Source organism: Homo sapiens, chromosome 3 (assembly GCF_000001405.40).
Source record: "Homo sapiens chromosome 3, GRCh38.p14 Primary Assembly".
Classification (NCBI taxonomy): Eukaryota; Metazoa; Chordata; class Mammalia; order Primates; family Hominidae; genus Homo; species Homo sapiens.
The window spans coordinates 127,753,247-127,771,675 of NC_000003.12; the positions used below are offsets into that span (position 1 = coordinate 127,753,247).

General features: G+C 49.8%; 1 protein-coding gene across 10 annotated transcripts in view, besides 10 other annotated features; it reads right to left on the reverse strand.

The window, feature by feature from the left end:
* The window catches only part of MGLL (monoglyceride lipase), a 134,120-nt gene that overhangs the window by 64,181 nt on the left and 51,510 nt on the right, over window positions 1–18,429 (reverse strand). The window lies entirely within an intron of this gene.
* Window positions 301–610: an enhancer, noted in NCBI's record as "active region_20464". NCBI's record gives its function as "activates an Ori minimal core promoter by ATAC-STARR-seq in GM12878 lymphoblastoid cells {active_cell/tissue: GM12878}" and the evidence as "EXISTENCE:reporter gene assay evidence [ECO:0000049][PMID:35858748]".
* Window positions 716–1,915: an enhancer, noted in NCBI's record as "BRD4-independent group 4 enhancer chr3:127472805-127474004 (GRCh37/hg19 assembly coordinates)". NCBI's record gives its function as "activates an origin of replication core promoter dependent on BRD2, P300/CBP, MED14 and CDK7 cofactors, and independent of BRD4, by STARR-seq in HCT116 cells {active_cell/tissue: HCT116}" and the evidence as "EXISTENCE:reporter gene assay evidence [ECO:0000049][PMID:35650434]".
* Window positions 811–990: an enhancer, noted in NCBI's record as "active region_20465". NCBI's record gives its function as "activates an Ori minimal core promoter by ATAC-STARR-seq in GM12878 lymphoblastoid cells {active_cell/tissue: GM12878}" and the evidence as "EXISTENCE:reporter gene assay evidence [ECO:0000049][PMID:35858748]".
* Window positions 1,101–1,220: an enhancer, noted in NCBI's record as "active region_20466". NCBI's record gives its function as "activates an Ori minimal core promoter by ATAC-STARR-seq in GM12878 lymphoblastoid cells {active_cell/tissue: GM12878}" and the evidence as "EXISTENCE:reporter gene assay evidence [ECO:0000049][PMID:35858748]".
* Window positions 1,371–1,490: an enhancer, noted in NCBI's record as "active region_20467". NCBI's record gives its function as "activates an Ori minimal core promoter by ATAC-STARR-seq in GM12878 lymphoblastoid cells {active_cell/tissue: GM12878}" and the evidence as "EXISTENCE:reporter gene assay evidence [ECO:0000049][PMID:35858748]".
* Window positions 9,724–9,773: an enhancer, noted in NCBI's record as "active region_20468". NCBI's record gives its function as "activates an Ori minimal core promoter by ATAC-STARR-seq in GM12878 lymphoblastoid cells {active_cell/tissue: GM12878}" and the evidence as "EXISTENCE:reporter gene assay evidence [ECO:0000049][PMID:35858748]".
* Window positions 11,564–11,613: an enhancer, noted in NCBI's record as "active region_20469". NCBI's record gives its function as "activates an Ori minimal core promoter by ATAC-STARR-seq in GM12878 lymphoblastoid cells {active_cell/tissue: GM12878}" and the evidence as "EXISTENCE:reporter gene assay evidence [ECO:0000049][PMID:35858748]".
* Window positions 11,734–11,853: an enhancer, noted in NCBI's record as "active region_20470". NCBI's record gives its function as "activates an Ori minimal core promoter by ATAC-STARR-seq in GM12878 lymphoblastoid cells {active_cell/tissue: GM12878}" and the evidence as "EXISTENCE:reporter gene assay evidence [ECO:0000049][PMID:35858748]".
* Window positions 11,934–11,983: an enhancer, noted in NCBI's record as "active region_20471". NCBI's record gives its function as "activates an Ori minimal core promoter by ATAC-STARR-seq in GM12878 lymphoblastoid cells {active_cell/tissue: GM12878}" and the evidence as "EXISTENCE:reporter gene assay evidence [ECO:0000049][PMID:35858748]".
* Window positions 15,530–15,629: an enhancer, noted in NCBI's record as "active region_20472". NCBI's record gives its function as "activates an Ori minimal core promoter by ATAC-STARR-seq in GM12878 lymphoblastoid cells {active_cell/tissue: GM12878}" and the evidence as "EXISTENCE:reporter gene assay evidence [ECO:0000049][PMID:35858748]".

Here is an 18,429-nt window from a genome sequence, read left to right on the forward strand (position 1 = left end):
TGGTGAGTGTTCTGGACAGGTGAGGGGCTGCAGGTGTCGACGATGAATTCCCTTCACCCAAAGCAGACCATAGTGACGATAATGTGCCCTTTCCCTGCTGATGCTGGGTCCTTGATGTGACCAGTTTTTAACATACTCTCAGAACCCAGGGATGTTCTCAGGGCTTAGGTGTGAGGCCATCTGTCCCTGCACAAAATGGCCCTTGCCCATGGGTTTCCAAGTTGGCATAGCTCTTTGTTCCCACAGTCACATTCCACGGATTCTACCAGCGTTTGCTGAGAACACAACATATGTCAACTGACGTGCTGGGCGCTTCTGCAGACCTTGCCTCATCGAATCAGCATCAGGCACTCCTGGGCCTGAGCTTTGTCTCTGTGATTGGGTAGCTGTGCACAGACAGCATAACCTCTGTGGCCTTCACTTTCCTCGCTTAAAATGGCCACACTAATAAGGTCGGCATATAGTCTACAGGGGGCAAGAAGAGCAGGAGATGTTCCATCTACAAATGTTCCTTCTGCATTTGGGCTCAGAAACAGCCCAATGACTGAATCAAGGCCACACAGCTAGAGATGGCAAAGGAGCCTGGTCCAGAGCACAGGCAGGTCTCCACCGGCCCTACAGGACCCCAACACTCTTCCTTGGTGATGGGTCTCCATTCCCACCCTTGACTTGGCATGGGAGGCACCAGGTGTAAGCCCTGTCTTCCTCAGGGGTCACTTCCTCCCACCAGCCTCGTCACAGCTGTCAGCGCCCTGCACTCCTAGCCCATTCTGTAGCCACAGTAGCTGTTTCTGTTGGCACCCTGTTCTGTTTTGGTCACTTTTGGGTGGTGGCCCGCTGGGGCCTGATGCTGCACTCTACGGAGGAGGCCACAGCCTCCCGCTCACCCAGGCCCTGGCCTCACTCTCCAGCTTCCTCCTTGGCAGGGCAGGGGCTTCCCTCTGTGAACTCAGAGGTCACGACCCGCCAGGCACTGCCGCCCACTCCCCACCAAGCTCACTCCCAGTTCCCCTGAAAAGAAGGAGGTGCTTAGACTAAGTGAGAAAATCTCTCCCTTTTAGGGAATCAGTCCTGCTGTCACCCCCACAACCATAAAAGGCAAAATAAGAAAGAAAAAAAAAACCAGATCTATCAAAAGCTCCACACAAGTGCCTTCCAGGACTGCAAGCCGTCTTCAGGGAAGGGCCTCCCCTTCTGCTCCACGCACCTCAACTCTACACAGGGCCTCACCCCTCACCGGCGTTAACTGGATGAGTACTTGCAACGGCCCCGCTAGGCAGCAGTACCGCCTGTGTCCATTTCACCAGGGTGGACGCTGAGGCACAGAGAGGAGAGAGGGCTGGCGGGCTGGGATCCACAGCCTCTAGGTCTGTTCTCACCACTCAGGCTGTTGGTCCCAGTGGGCACCTACAGGTGTGCTTCTGAGGCTGGGTCGGGCAGGAGGATGGGTTTTCCTTGTCGGAGGGCAAGAAAGCGTAGGCTTCACGCTGGATCTCCACCCAGGCCTCAGTGGCCTTCCCGTGTGCCTCCCCCGCAGCTGCTGAGAAAACCACACCAGAGAGCGAGAACGTCATCAGAGAGGGGCGCGTGGGGTGTGCATCTTGGGAGCTGTATTTCTAGGTGTGTGCACTCATGCCCACGTGTCCCAGGCTCTTTAGAGGGAAGCGTTCCCTAGGTACGTGGCATTCCCTTTCAAATTCACCTAGCGCCCCAGAGAAGGGATTGTGTGGGAGGAACGCGGGTTTCCACGAGATGGTGGGGGTGTTTTATGTTTGTTTTCTCGGCATTTTTTGGTTCTGCACAGTCACGAGCTGTGGCATCCCCGGGGGAAAGGTCCTTGCCATTGCGGGGGCTGTTCTTTTTGCCCACACGGCCTCGTCAACTAGGGGATGCCCCATGCATTGCTCAACCCCAGAGAGAAAAGGAGAAGATAAAACCTGGATTCAAATGATTTCACTTCTCATTAGCCACTGTGACCTGGGAACAAGGGAAAAACCAAAGATGAAACTGTTCACGTGAGCTAGACTCAACGCTCTTGTAAAAGGAGGAAGAGGGTGTTTAAAGAAATGGAAGGGTTTAAACAGCTGCTCACAGCTTTATAAAGGATAGCATGCCTCTCCCACCCAGCCTGCCTTCTGGGGTCTCAGCTCCTTCCCTTACCCAGCAATCCATCGCTGTAGGCCCCCAAACATGGGAGACACGATATGCCAGTTGTAGGTCAATGGGTTTTCAGTGACAAGGACAAGGAGAAGGTTGCTTATGAATGCGTGTGGGTGGGAGGTGCACGGTCACAAGGGCGGACCACATGCAGCGGCGAGACTCAGTGCAGCCGGGACACTGGCACATGTGCCTGTTGCTCCGAACGAGGACAAGGGGCCCCACTGCGGGCCCCAGAGAATGCATCCAACCTTCTGTCTCCCCAGATATACCGGGCAGAGTCACCAAATCTTCGCGCACCACCTGTATTATTATTTACCTAATATACTTCTTAATTACACACTCATGTTCCCTCGCCCCCTTAAATTGATGTATTTATCAAAGACACTTTCTATGACTATTGTTTGTAGAAAATCTGTCACTTCCCATAAACACAGAGTAACTGGTGGACATGGCCGTTTGTCTACCCAATATCCACTCTCTCTTTTCTTCTTAGTAACTGAAACCTGATTTTATTCAGACTGGCAATGTGCTTGGGCAGAGCACTCTACCTCCCAGCCTCCCTAGCAATCAGTGTGGCTATGGGACTAACTCCTGGTCATTGAGACACAGGATGGCATGGATAGATGGAACTTCCAGAAAGGCTTCTTAAGTGGAAGATAGGTATCATTTTTTATGTCTGAAATATAAATGTAATGTGATGGCTGGAACTCTCACAGCCATCTTGGGCAAAGAGGTAAATGAAGCTAGGTGCTCTAAGGGTTGGGGAGCAGATAGAAGAAGTTGGTTTCTTGATAAAATAATGGAGCTGTTACTCCAAGTATTAAGTATGTCTTTTTATTCTGATATTTTGGCATCTAGGGCCTTGCTGACTGGGGAAATTACCTGTTCTAGGGCTAGCCAATTACTAGAGATAGTAAAGGTCTTACAGGGAAGCACATCTTTCCTATGCAAATTAACTGGTCCAGAGCCCACACCTCCACTCCAGGCCAATATTTCTCTGCTTTCATCACCCCAGGGCCAGATGCCAGAAGCCCCTACACCCCAGAGCCCACAAAATCATTCAAACTGGCTAATTCTAAGCCTGCTCACCCCATCTCACCCATCCCCGATCAGCCCTGGTGCTTCCCCACATGCCCCCATGGTATGCTGTGGCCCCTTCTCTTGGGAACTGAGAGGAACAAACTATCTTTTCAATGGCAGCCTCTCCTGATGTGTTGGCCTCACCATACCTGAATCACAATACAACCTACATTTTCAAACACAGGCCTGGCCTATCTCCAGACTTCTTTTCAGAAGAGAAATAAACCTTTTTCTTGTGTAATTGACTGTTACAACTAGTCTTTATTTCTAGCAGTCAAACTTAATTCCTAACTGATGTAGAAATCATAAAATAAATACATATAAATAAGAAAAAAGTGATTGCCTGCATGCTGTCTAAAACCACCATGGCTGCTACCCTTGATGACGCAGACCTAGGTCAGTAGCAGGAGGGGCCCTCGTCTTCCTAGGAAGACCTCCTCCATCCATGTTTCTTGCCATACATCCCTTCAGGTCCTCCCACCAGGTGAAGAATATCTGTCCCCACTGTCCCCACCCTGTAAATAAATGTTGGGCTTGGCCATGTGACATGCTTTGGTCAATGGAAGGTGGACAGAGTGATGGTAAGAAAGTCTGAGTGCAGACTTTAAAAATCATCACCACCATCAACAGCTTCTGCTGTTGTCCTAGAAAAGAACATGACTCTCCTAGCCCACTGTCCCTGGAAGCTGACAGACATGTGGAGAGAGCCGAACCCAACTTGAGGCCTGGAGCCACACCCAGCCAAGCCCAGCCTAAAACAGCTGACCTACAGACACAGGAGAAAGCATGAGTTGTTGTTTTAGGCTGTTGAGTTTCGGGGGTATTTGTTATGCAGCATTATTGCAGTAACTACTGGCTCAGTCGGGAAGGCAGCAATCTACATATATTTATTGATTTCTAATTTTTAAATTAGAAACTGCCCTAGGCATATCCCAGTGCCTGTATATAATATATAATACACACAGACACACATGCACACAGACATACACACACATATATACAACCAGTGAGATGGCTTTTGGCTTCAAGAAATTGATGACTTAGCTCTGGAACTCTCCGCTTTCAAAGAACACTGAGATTAGCTAGATGCCCAGTTGCCAACTCCAGCAGGAATCGTAACTCCAAGTGAAGTGACTACACCAGAGAAAGAAACTCTTCATTGAACTCCCTAAAAGAAAAAGCACCCAAAGAACCTTGGGGACAATGAAGAAAGCTGTGACAGTGTCACGAAGCTGGGGGACCTGCCTCCGAGAGAGTGTTTCTTGACCCCAACCTGGGTAGATCCGAATCCAAGCTCAGGGTCCTCCTGACCCAGATGTGTTCAGCCACGTGTCATCGACACCTTGTAAACAGATTGCTGATACAGGAGTGCCGGGAAGAAACGCACACTTGCTTACACTGGTGGGGCACCTAGCACACCTGTAGGTACTTGGCTGATGTTATTCCATCAAATCTGTACGGGAGCTGCCTGGGGGCTTCTGTTCCTGTTTTATAGAGGAGAAAACTGAGGATCTCTGGGCCCTGTGTGGCCAGCTGCACACGACCTCTGTCTCCTCTCCTACAGTGCTCTCCTCTCACCTCACCTCCTGTCTCCCGACTGTTCATGAGTCAGGCACCCTCCTGCCCCAGGACCTTTGCACTGGCCACCCCCTTTTCCCCTGGTCATCTGTGAGGCTCCTCCTTGCCTCCTTTGGGTCTTTGCTCAACTACCACTTTCTCAGTGGAGCCAGCAGCTTGAGCATGGCCCCCTGCCCCCACTGCCCCGCCCTCCTCCTCCAAGGTTTTATTTTGCTTTGTGGCACTTATCTCCAATGGACATACCCTAAAGTCATTTATTGCTGCTCATTGTCTGCCAAGGGCAGGGACTTGTGTCTGTTTTGTTCACAGCTGCATCTCCTGTGCCCAGCACCATGCCTGGAGTTGGTAACTGGGCATCAAGCTAATACATTATAGACTGAACGAATGAATAAATACACGAATGAGGCTTGGAGATGTGAAGGAGCTTGCAAAAAGTCAATAGCTAGAAGTTTTTCAAGCTAGACAGAAGCCCAGGTCAGCTTGGCCCTCTTAGAGCAGCCCCTGAGCCTTGTATAATTAAATGGTGTGTTCCGTTGTTAGTGCTGACAAAGTGCCAGTCTCCTTTCCTAACAATTCGGCTGTACCGAGCGAGGAGAATGGGGGAAGTCACCTGTAATTTTCTTTTCTGTCTTCCCCTTTAAAAGGGTCTTTAAAAATCAGATATGTGTTATAAAAAACAATGGGATAATGGGTCGATTTTTCATATCATGACAAGCAATTGCTAGGGAGAAAAATATCATTCTTGAAAATGTGCAAAAGTGCACTGGCTGTAAGTTGTAAACATGACCCTCACAGGAAAGGATATTCTGGGGGCTCCTGGCACCTATTTCTTTCTTTTTCTTTTTTTTTTCTTTTCTTTTCTTTTTTTTTTTTTTTGAGACAGAGTCTTGCTCTGTTGCCCAGGCTGGAGTGCAGTGGTGTGATCTAGGCTCACTGCAACCTCTGCCTCCCAGGTTCAAGTGATTCTCCTGCCTCAGCGTCCTGAGTAGCTAGCTGGGATTACAGGTACATGCCACCAAGCCTGGCTAATTTTTGTATTTAGTAGAGATGAGGTTTCGCCATGTTGGCCAGGCTGGTCTTGAACTCCTGACCTCAAGTGATCAACCTGCCTCGGTCTCCCAAAGTGCTGGGATTACAGGCGTGAGCCACTGCGCCCGGCCCTGGCAGCTATTTCTCACAGCGTCCATTATTATAAACCAGCTCTCCTATTCTGTGACCCCAGCAACTGAGACACAGAGTCAGGCGGCTCTCAACCCTTCTCTCTGCTATGCGTGACCCTGGCTAACATCTCCAACCTCTGCGGGACTGTCCTTACCCCTCCCTTGGTCCCCTACCACACCTGATGTGACCAAGGCTCTCAGCACCGTGCCTGGTACACAGTAGATGCTCACTGGAGGTGGGTGTGCCTCTCTTCTGAATCACGTGCTCAAGAGGGATGTCTGTGTTCACCTGCGGCCATTTAAAAATCTCAGCTGTGGGCATGTTCTCATGTCTCACTGCACCTTCCCCTGCTTAGAGGTCATTTTCCAAGGAAGGGAAGAGAGAATGTAATTCACAGAAGCAGTGCCACTTTACAGAGATGCTTTGAGCCCAGAGATCCCGATGACTTCAGAGACTCTTGGTTCTCGTGTGGACTGGGAGGAAGGAGTGGCCTGATGCAGAGCTCCTACCTGCTCAGATCAGCCCAGCTCCTTCTCCCTCACTCAACACAGGGTCCTTGGAATCGGTCCCTTTGGCCTTCAGATGATTCTCCTTTTTTGGTAAGAAAGCTTCCACTGAATAAAACCTTTAAGTGATTTTTCCAATCTGGTGGCGTCTGTACAATAACTGAGGAGAGAAATAATTATGATTATGGGGTCTGAATGATCCAGCACTTCTCCACGACTCTGAGGAGGAGGCAGCTGGCCCCTGCCTCTCACATTGACTGTCTTTGCGGGCAGGCCCTGCTTAGACGGCTTGGTTTTCTGCGTTGGAGAAAGGAAGCCAGTGGTGTAGCAGGGAGAGCGCTGGATGTGCACACAGCTTTCAAAGAAAAGCAAAGGAAAGATGACGGGAGGGAAGGGCAGAGCCACACAGGGGTGGAAGCATCCATTTATGGGACATTGAGTTTGTGTGGGGTCCTATGAGCTAACGTTTCCATAGGAAGCCTCAGGCCTAACATACAGATGGGAAATCTGAGGCTCAGAGAGGTCAAGTGACTGTCCTGGACACACAGGTATAAAGAGTAGGCCAGGCCACTCTGCCTCCACCCAGCAGGTTCACATAACAGAACTCTCTGGGCTAAGCTCCACTTGTCAACAGGGGACCAACCCCTCTGGGCTCACACCATGCCACACAGGGCACGTGGGTGCTGAGGAATGAAGGTGAAAGGACCTTGTTCTCCCCCTGCAGTCAGCCCCGATGCTGGCTCTGTCCCTCATCCAGGCTCAGGCGCCACCTCTGGGAGTCAGAGCATCTTCTAGCAGAGCCTTGGCAGGAGGCGAGGTGAGGAGCTGGCACGGCACCCCTGACAGACTGCGCGTCGCAAGCTATTCCTGGAGCCGCTGCGGCACTTCTGTCAGATGATGCAGAAACCCCAGGGCCACTCGCCTGGGGGCTGTGCCCCACGCCAAGCTGCTCAGAGGCACAGCACTGATTGGGGGGCGCTGGTCCAATGGAACCTGCGGCTCTGCACCCCAAAGCATTTTCCCAAAAGTTAAAACTGTAGCAAGGTGCAAGTGTGTAAGAATTTCAGTCCGACTTTGCCCCCTAATGACTGTGAGCTTGAATAAATCAGGCAGCATCTCTGAGCTTGTTTCCTCCATAGGGACGTTGCCTGCCTTACTCTGCTGCCGTAGGATTAAATGGGGTGATCCGTGGAAAAAATTATTAGCACAGAAGTCATGGATTTTTCCAGCTGGGCAAGCGTTATTTGATTTTCTTTAAACAGGGCTCATCCTCCAGGCCAAATTCATACCCACACATACAGGATTCACAAGTGTGAACTTGAGCGTATCCAAAGAAACCATCATTTCTGTGAAATGCCTTGTAATTCTGCAAGCCTTCACTGAGCAGCTGCTATGAGCAAGGTGCCACACAGATGCGGAGAGCAGAGGCCCCAGTTGCTGTGTTCAGATAACGTACAATTCCCTGTGGCCATCCGGACCCTTCGCACTATCAAGGGGCCCACCGCCTGGGAGGGATTTCTGGGGTGCTGATGACCAGACTGCGTCACTTTCCAGGGCCCACTGGGCAAACTGGCTTCTCCCCTGCTGCTGTGTCTTGTTAGAGCCACCGTGTTGTGTTGGGGGTGCTGGCTTAGTTTAGGGTGGGGATGAGAAGCTTTGAGGGACCAGGGTGGAGGCCTCCCCAGGGCTCCTCCTTCTCCAGCAAGCAGTACTAACCTCCACAGCCAGGGTGGAAGCCACAGAACACTCAGAGACAGCAGTCAAAGAGGCCACTTCTGCACTGCCTGGACCAGAGACTGCAAACTGCCCTTCAAGCTGCATTTCAAGTGCCTTCTGTGTGTGTGTCCACGTGTTCCCCTAAGCGACTGGGCTACACCAGTCCACCACAAAGGTACTGTGGGTTTCCTCTTTTGGCTGGTGAGGACACGGAGGCACAGAGAGGGCTGGCGCACAGCCGGCCGTGGGCAGAGCTGGACTGCCACGCAGGCTGCCTCCCTCCTGGCACGTTCGGCTCCTCGCTTCATCGGCCGGGCCCTTGGGACCCCAGCTCTTCAGGGAGGGACTCCAGGCAGAGCTTCATTCTCAAATGCCCAGACAAGCACTAAATATGCGTAGTGCACCCAGCGCACTTGCCGGGGAGTTGTGACTGCATCTGAGGATCCCATGCAAGGTTTGGGTCCTCTGTTTGCTTTTTAATTTCTCCCTTTACCTCTAACAGGGGAGAAACCAAGACACCGAGAACACAGCTTAATAGATCTGTGATTTGGAATTCTGATCCTGGCTCTACCACTCCTGGCTTGTTGTCTCTCCTGTAAAATGAAAATGACGATGGCTTTACCTGCCTTGGAAAATGAAATGAAATGAAATAGAGAATATGAAGCCCTTCAGAAAGGGCAGCCTGACAGTGCAGTCGTGGTTTATTGCTTCCACGTTAGTGACACATGAAGCACCTTGTCTGCCGGCATGCGGTTCTCTTTTCATTTTGAGCAGGACCCCACTGGGCTCTGCTCCTGAGCTCTCCGCGTCCTCCCCGCCTGCCCTGACGGTTGGCAGCATTACAGCCGTTTATTTTTAGTTCTTGGTGGGCCAGCCATTTCCTGGTCACATGCTGTTTGAGCTCCCACTTCAGAAAGGCTCAGCTCACAAGACAGACTCTGCCCATTCCCACCCCCAGCCTTTCTTAAGGGCTGTGTCAAAGCGAAGCCAGCCCTGACCCTACCTATTTTAAAGTTCCTTTGAGGAGTCCTTTCTTCTGGTCCACTTGCAGCCAGAGTGATTTTGAAGTTTAATTTACGAAATGGGTGGAGAGGTGCACAGAACCTGGTTCTGGGAGCTGGGGCCTGAGATCCGGGTCCAAAACTGCCACCAACTGGTGGGACCTCGAAGTCTGTCCCCTACCCTTGTACAATGAGAAAGGGAGGGGCAGAGGCTTCGTTGCAGGTTCCTTGCAGCCCACTGCTCTGTCAGGGACCATCAAATGAGAGCAGTTCTGGTCATTACTGCAGCTTCAGTTATGAGTATGCACGTAGTAACAGGTGCACTTCCTGCATGCTGCTCTGGGCCAGGGCCTGTTCCAAGCAATTTATCAATGGTAAGTTTACAGATTGGAGCTCTACACCTAGGTACCATTATTACCATCTCAACTTCACAGACAGGAGATGTGATGGGGACGCCTCAGGCCAGGTCTGTGTTTGTGCCCTGCAGCTGGGACTGGAACCCAGTGTCACTCCAGACTCTGCCTTCCCCCCATGGCAGCCTCCCCAGCTTTGCCCTTGATCTTCATGTGTGCTGGATCACAGTGTGTCACTCTGATTGGGGAAAGATGTGTGATCCACCCTCCTTGAATGTCTTTAGGGAAATACTCAGTATTTGGAGATAGAAAAACAACAACCACCATGCAAGGTCCTTATTACCTAGGCAGGGTGCAGCGATGTGGATTCATAGGATGTCAGGTGTGCGGTGAGTGTGCAGGCTGCCCCAGCAGCCAGGGGACAGGTGTGCCAGAAAGAAAGGCTCCGGAGGGTACATCATCTCCAAGATGGATTTGAAGATGCCAGTCTGAGGATGATAGCAACAACTGCCAAAGACCGAAACGGCTTCTTCTGGGGACCTAGAGTGATGTCTGTTTTCTTCTCACCCTCTGGCCCCGCGAAGCCAGGTTGGATGCAGAAAACACTGGGCTGTACCCAGTTGCTGTGGTAGCACGGGCCCCTCAGGCTCAAGGCCAGCTCTGACTCAGTAGAATGGGGGACCCTCACAAGCATGCCACAGTGTGGCTTCTGCTTGCCAAGGGGCCTGCCACAGCAGCCACGGCCATCTGGATCTCGGACCCTGCCCAAGCAACCTGGGTGGGGACATCTCCCTGGAGCCCCACCTGGACCTGTGCTGAGGCCAATCCAGCCCCTGACCTGGCCTGGAGTGGACCTCTGTCTGTGCCCTAAGCTCGGCCACTGTGGTCCTTCCCTCTGTGCTGCCTCGCTGAGCTTCCTTCCTTCCCCTCCCGCCCCTTCTCCTCTTCCTACTGCCCTCCCGTCCTCAAACTCTCCCAGAGACTGAACCCCTGTGTGGGGGAGGGGGAGGTAAGGCTAAACTGCAGATGGGTCTTGTCCTCAAGGAGCAGCTAAGTTTACTGATGTCGCCGTAGTCATTACACCCACCTCAGTGTGCAGTCTCAGCTGCGTGCTGGGAAGACAGGAAAGGAAGACCCAGGTTCCGACATGGGTGGAAGCAAGAGGCTCCACCTCCACCCTCCTCCCTCCCGGCTCTCAGGCGCTCCTCCAGCTTCTCGGAGCTTGCATGCCACTGTCTAAGCTGCAAATCCCCAATGCCCATCACATGGCCTCTCTGGGTGGCACCCCATGCCTGATGCTGAAGTTGCCTGAATACCACCCCCAGCTGTGTTCCCCTTTCCTCTCAGATGCAGGAACCCACCTCTGACATGATAAAGATGGGCCCTGGGAGGGGCACACACTCTCCTCTGTGAGCATCTGCTCCCACCACAGACTCCTGGGGTTCTAGGAAGCCTAATGGCCTAAAGACAAAGGGCAACTCTGTCTCATTTGGGGAAGAAGTCGTGCCAGAGAGAACGAGGCTGCAGACCTGGAGTGGAAGGGGTCCCACTGGCCTCTCAGCACCTTGTGACTTTACTATGTCTCCCTGCCTGCAGAATGGGCGTACAGATATCAAGGCCATATACTTGTGGTGCAGAATAAAAGAGAAGAAGGACGGAAAGCCCCCAGGAGAGGCCCGGGCCACAGTTGTGCTCTGCTGTGGGTGAGAAGAGGTGCATGTTTGGGAAGCTCACGTGCTCTCCTCATCTGTAATAATTACCACACCTACTCCAAGGCTGTAATGAGGTTCAAGGCAACGTCTGAAAAGCTTTGCATCGATAATCAGGCATATGATAAATATTAATTAATGTTAAATATGAATATCATCTCTCTCTGAGAATTCTTATAAATACTCCATGCCGTAGGTAATATCACACCACTTTTCAAATTTGGAAGCCACACTAGTTAGCATGAAACTGTGACTGGAGTCAAATCAGGTTTTCCTAAGGCGGAAAAGTAGTCACCCCAACATAGCCAATATTTATGGAGTACTCTCTGTGGGTCAGGCCCCCCACATAGAGGAGCTCATTTGGTTCCTTTTTAATCCCCCTACTGACCCTATGGGGTAGAGACTTTGACTCATCCTTTACTGTAGATGAGAAAACTGAGATGCAGAGAGGTTAGTAACTTGCCCAGAGTCACATAGCAAATAAGTGGTTAAACTGACTCAAATTCAGGCCTTTCAGACAACAAGGACCACCTATTTGTTCTACACCCAAATATAACCTGCATATATGTTATAATTAGCTACATCTTTTCTCAGCTCCTGAACCACAGCAAATAGCATCCCTGGTGCCGAGAAGAATTTCATTTCCTAGAATTATTCAGTCTTTCTTTTTAACACAGGATCACGTGTAAGTAATTTGACTTTTTTTCTCCTCCAACAAGTGACTCATTTAAACACTTCAGAAACGGCTTCTTCTGGGGACCTAGAGTGATGTCTGTTTTCTTCTCACCAGGAAACCTTAAATATTTTCATCTGAGAGACCGTATGAATAATTTTGAATGAATGACTACGCCTTTGGGGTAAATTCCTTCTGAAAGATAACCAGGTGGTAAATTATCAGGCCGCTGGGCACTAGAATGAGAAGAGATGGTGCTGGGTCTCCAGGAGTGTCCATTTGGCTTCCAAAGCCCCCAACACAGATCTGCGATTCAGCATTCAGATGGCACACTTGCTGCGGCCCTCGGAAGAGCCACGTGTTCTTGTCACTTCAGTGAAGCTGAGTGAACAATGTGCCCAATTCCTGTGTGAATAGCTCAGGGTTCACATTGTACCTGCCACAGCAACCACTTTGTAAATTTTTAAAAACAAGTTCAACAGTGGGTAAACGAACAGAAACACGTACCCCCAACATCACTGAAGGGAAGCCCAGAAGGCTGATGAAGAAGAGTGTTCCCGCAGGAACGGCCGCATGTGGCCGCATCGCTCCAGATTAGCTAACATGGGAAGCATGAACAACTTTCTATAGAAAAGATGGGGGCTGTCTATTTAATTTCAGGGAACTGAAAAAAAAAGTTTCTCTTCTCAGCCAGTGACTAATGTGTGGTGAGGAGAGCAGGGGTCTGTGTGTTGGGGAAGAGGACAGTATGGGGGCTTGTTGAGCACCTACTATGTGCCCAGCAGCCACTCTGCTAGCAGCTAAGACATTCATTTAATCTTCGCCAGGTAGATACTATGACTTAGAGTTACAGGTGGGGAAACTGAGGCTCACCAGTTTAAAGTGAGGTTTAGTAGCTTGTCCAACGTCACAAATGTCATGTCCTATGAAGATATTTCCCCATGATCACTCCCAAAGGTAGTCTGGGCCCTCTCTCCCTCTCCCATATGTCCCATGCACACTTCTGCCAGAACCCCGTAATAGCCCCCCACCAACTACTTTTGCTTTTGAAGCATGTCTGTCTCCATGGATTCCTGAGGCAGTAACCAGGTCTGTGTGATTTCCTCATTCCACACCCAGCACTGACCCAGCACACGGCAGGTTCTCATATAATAGCTGTTGAATCTGTTTATTGCAAATATTGTATACATTTCTAATTTTAACTATGTAGACACGCACCTTATTGAAAGTAAATCCTACTCAGAAAATACTCGTAGTGCCCCTGGCTCTTTTCTCCTTACAATCTGCCAAACCCCTCTCTTGAGTGGGAGCCCCAATCCACTTCCTCAGTTGTGCACAGGGTCGCCTCCCAACTGCGCCTTTCTGGCCTGTTTATCAGCCAAGCAGGGGCACTCTTATAAAGGGTGCTGTGTCCTCAAAAACAGCATCAAAGAACTCCGAAGACAGTGGCTTTGTTGGTTCATTATAGAGGATTCTGGAAGTCAGTTGTGCCATAATCAATGCAAAACCACATGACATAAATTTTTATGACAAAAGATATTTGTAATGAGCTCTTTTCTTTCAAATATGAAGCCTTAGTTTACCTCTTTAAAAAACACTAGTTACGGCCGGGGACAGTGGCTCACATCTGTAATCCCAGCATTCTGGGAGGCTGAGGTGGGCGTATCACTTGAGGTCAGGAGTTCAAGACCAGCCTGGCCAACATGGCGAAACCACATCTCTACAAAAAATACAAAAATTAGCCGAGTGTGTTGGCATGCCCCTGTAATCCCAGCTACTCAGGAGGTTGAGGCAGGAGAATTGGTTGAACCTGGGAGGCAGAGATTGCAGGTAGGGCCGAGATTGCACCACTGCACTCCAGCCCGAGTGATGGAGTGAGACTCTATCAAAAAAAAAAACAAAAAAACAAAAAAAACCCCAAAAAACTAGTTAGGAAATTATCCTTTAAGGCTTACCTTCCTCATATTCTCCATCATCACCATCACTCATTACCATCACTATCACCATCACCATCTATGGGTGCCTGTCATGGAGCCTGGATTTATCTAATCTCTCAATATTTGTACTATTGCACCCATCCTGTTAGATGAGGCAATGGAGGCTCAGTGAGGTTAGGAAATTTCCCAGGGTCACATAAGCAGTCAGTGGCAAGGGCAGGGTGACATTCTTGCCTGCCTGGTTCCAAAGATTGTAAATAATTAACCAATTGTTTATAATTGCAGTCATAAAATCCCATATTTCATGGCTCGTGGCAAGGATCAAATAATTCAAAAACACATTTGGGGCTGGACCTTAGCTTGTGAGATTCTCAAGGGCAGGAGCATTGTCTCATTCCTCTTTCTATCCCACAGTGAAAGCACATGGTAGGCACTCGATGAATCTTTTTTGAATGAGTGAATGAATGGATTATTTAAGAAATTAGAGACTATCAGAGCCCTGGGGCACTCTGTTCCATAAGAGTGTAAAATGTTCTCAAAGAAATTTTGAAGCAAGTTTAACTCTAGAAACGGAACAGCAATTTGTAAACTTATAGTCTCAGAATGATGCTTTTGACAATATCCAGTGTGGCCAGGTTTTAGCTATTAAGCAATAGAATTCAAACACTTTTCAGTACATGTCTTCAGCAGGTAACTGGAATGTGGTGAGGCCATCAGTAATAATAATGAACAGGTGAATACATGCTATATGCCAGAACCTTTGATAAACACTCCACCTAAATGACTGTTTAATCCTCATAACAACTTATGAGGTAGAAATTTCAATACCTTCGTTTCATAGATTAGGAAACCAAAGCTCAGTAATGTTCCAGTAACTTGTCCAAGGATAACAGAGGATATTATGGACAAGTGTATGCCAATAAATTTGATGTCTTGGATGAAATCCACAAACTCCTTGAAAAACACTACTAAAGCTGACACAAAAAGAAAAAGAAAATTGGGATAGTCCTATTAATAGTTAAAGAAACTGAATTTATAATTAAAATCCTTCCCGTAAAGAACACTCCAGGCCTTGATAGCCTCACTGATCTACCAAACATTGAAGGAAAAAATAATAACGATCTTACACAAATTCTTTCAGAACTAACTAAGAAGGAGCACTTCCCAATTCATTTTATTAGCCAGAATATCCCTGGTACCAAAACTGGAGAAGGCCATAACAAAAAACAGACTGCAGACCAAAGCCCTGCAGCTAGTAAATGACTGAACCAGGATTTGAGCCCATAGCTGATGCCAAAGCCCGTGTGTCTAACCATCACACCACACTGCCACTTCCTGTGCCAGTTGCTTCTGTACAGCTGGTGTGTGGTTTAGGGATCAGAGCCCTCATTTTGGGGATGTGTAATGACTACTGGAGTCATAGAAATAAAATGTTAAGAATCGAGGCCTGACCTACTTTACTCTGACATCCAAGATGACTAAGTAAGGGAGTATTTCCCAAGAGTTCCACTCTGACTCTCCCTTCTCTCTTTGGCATTTCCTTCCCCCTCCCCTGGATAGAAATATCCTTTCCTCTCTTCTTCCTACTGAAGCTCCCTGTCCTGTCCACCCCTCCAGCTCTCCAAGCCCCAGTGCTCACCTCTTTCAGGGAACCTAGCGCATCACTCATGTGTCTACCCCTGGGCAGTGATTCTAGACTATAGTGTCCATCAGAGTTGCCTAAGGGCTTGCTAAACACTGACTGCTGGTCCCACCCTGGAGCCGGAGAGTGTGCACTTCCTGCAAATCCCTGGGTGGTGCTGCTGCTGCTCCTGCTGTTGCTGGTTTGACCAGAATCACACTTTGAGAACCACTACCATACTCACAGCCCTCATATCTAGAGATGGTTCCTTTCAGTTCAGCATATGGAGTCTCTGGGTAAAACTCTGCTAGAAAGAGTTGGATTGTCAGGCCAGGAGCGGTGGCTTATGCCTGTAATCCCGGCACTTTGGGAGGCTGAGGTGGGCAGATCACCTGATGCCAGGAGTTTGAGGCCAGCTTGGCCAACATGGTGAAACCCCGTCTTTACTAAAAATAAAAAATTAGCCAGGCGTGGTGGTGTGCACCTGTAATCCCAGCTACTCAGGAGGCTGAGGCAGGAGAATTGCTTGAACCTAGGAGGAGGAGGTTGCAGTGAGCTGAGATCATGCCATTGCACTCCAGCCTGGGCAACACAGCAAGACTCTATCTCAAAAAAAAAGAAAAAAAAAAGAATTGGATTGTCTTTGACCATAAGCTTCCTACAAATCAATTTTTAAACAACTGGCATTTCAAAAGTTCAACTAACCTGCATCACCTAGACGCTGCCCTCACTTAGTGCCATAGTCCACACTAAAACCCTGTGACGGAGGTAGTGCATCCTCCCCACTTCTCAGATGAAGATGGCAAGGCCCAGGGAGGCTGGTGAGGGGGAGGCTGCCATCAGAGCTGAGGTCTTCTCCAGGTCCAGGGAGTACTGGACCCTGAGCTGCCAGCCCGGGTGGCTTAGCCCTGAGGGACTGAACATATTTAAGTAGCAAGTGAGCTCCAAGAGGCTGCAAGCTGATGTCTGTTTGGTTCAGCATTTCCCCAGTGCCCAGACAGTGCAGGCACATAGTGAGTTTCAATAAATACTTGCTGAGTGGAGGGAGAGCAGAGCAGCCTCCCTGCCTCCACCCCACAACACCCCACCCCCGAAGCCCCGTCAGAGTGCTGGGGGGTCTGTCCTGAGGATGGAGCGGGGCTCCTGTGAGTGCTCAGCTCAGTGACCGGCGCGCGCCATGGCTGCTTTCTTCTTCCACCTGTCATCTCGACATCAGCCTGCCCTTCCCCAGGCCGCTCTGCTGCAACAGCAATAAGGTGCCTCTCTTCATAACTATCCTCCCTTGTAACTCGCAAAGAGCTTTCATACCTAGTTTCTCATTTAGAATCAGAGAATTCTAGAAGTGGAAGAAACTTCCTAAATCCTCAATCTCCTGGGCTCAAGTGATCTTTCCACCTCAGCCTCCCAAGTAGCGGGGACAGGTGCACGCCACTGCACCCAGCTAATTTTTGTATTATTTTTGTAGAGACAGAGTCACATCCTATTGCCCAGACTGGTCTCAAACTCCTGGCCTCAAGCGATCCTCCCACCTCAGCCTCCCACAGTGCTGGGATTACAGATGTGAACCACTGTAATCCCACTGTAATGCCTCACCCTGAAACATTTTTTTTAAGTGAATCCTTTAATCAAATGAAATATTGTACAGAAAAAGAGCTGAATGGCCCTGCATAAGGTGGGAAAGAATGCAGTGCTCAGCCCTCTAGGTTTCTGGGACCCTCCCCACAGCCCCTTGGAGGATATAGGCTCCCCAGGGCAGTTGGAACTTCCCTCATCCACTCCAGGTCTCTTCACCTTTCAGAAAGAACCGAGATGGCAGGAGGGAGAGTGTCATGCCCAAGCCGTGGCATGGGTTGGTCAAAGAACTAAGGCGTGAGGGCCAGGTGCAGCTGCATAGAGGGAGTCCCGTAAATGAACAGTGAATATCTAAGAATATGGAATAGTCTCCAGGAGGCAGGGCTGTACGGAGCAAAACCAGGCCACAAAACCCTGTTGGAGTCTTTAAACATCTTTAACCACTTGGCCTGTGATCCAAGGTCAGAGGATCAGTGACTTGCCCAAGGTCACAAGGCTGGGTGTCCAGGGTCACAAGGGTGAGTGCCAAGGGTCACAGGCTGAGAGCTCAAGGTCACAAGGCTGAGCACCCAAGGTTATAAGGCTGGGTACTCAAGGTCACAAGGGTGAGCGTCGAGGTCATAAGGCTGGGAGCCCAGGAAAGGCTAGGTATCTAGGGTCACAGGCAAGGTGCCCAGGGTCACAAGGATGTGTGTCCAAGGTCACAAGACTGAATGATTTACCAATTTCCTCTTTCTCTTTATGCTGCTTGTCCCTGATTAGGCCCCAGAAGCCTGCTTAAACCCCCATCTGCCTATGTCTCAACCCTACAATTTGTGCTAACCAAGCCCATGTAAGCAGGAACCACAACTGCTCATTGCCTCAGGCAGTTACCCTCCCAATCCTGCCTCCTTGAAAGCCTGGCTCCTGCACCAACAGGAGCAGAGGCAGCTGCTCTCTGCTCACCGTGAGCTTCGTGGACCCAGCGACCATCCTCCCTCTGGTCCTGCTCATCACAAGGCAACCCTTTACTATTTCTGTCTTCCTCCAGTTATGCATTTTATTTTATTTTTTGCGATAGGGTCTCGCTCTGTCGCCCAGGTTGGAGTGCAGTGGTGAAATCACAGCTCACTGCAGCCTTGACCTCCTGGGTTCAAGCGATCCCAAGTAGCTCCTGCCTCAGTCTCCCAAGTAGCTGAGATCATAGGCATGCACCTTTAAGCACTGCTAATTTTTGTGTTTTTTAAGAGACAGGGTTTTGACATGTTGTCCAGGCTGGTCTCAAACCCCTGGGCTCAAGCAGTCCTTCCCCCTCAGCCTCCCAAGGTGCTGGGATTACAGGTGTGAGCCACCAAGCCCGGCCTTCTCCATTTAGCTTTAAAC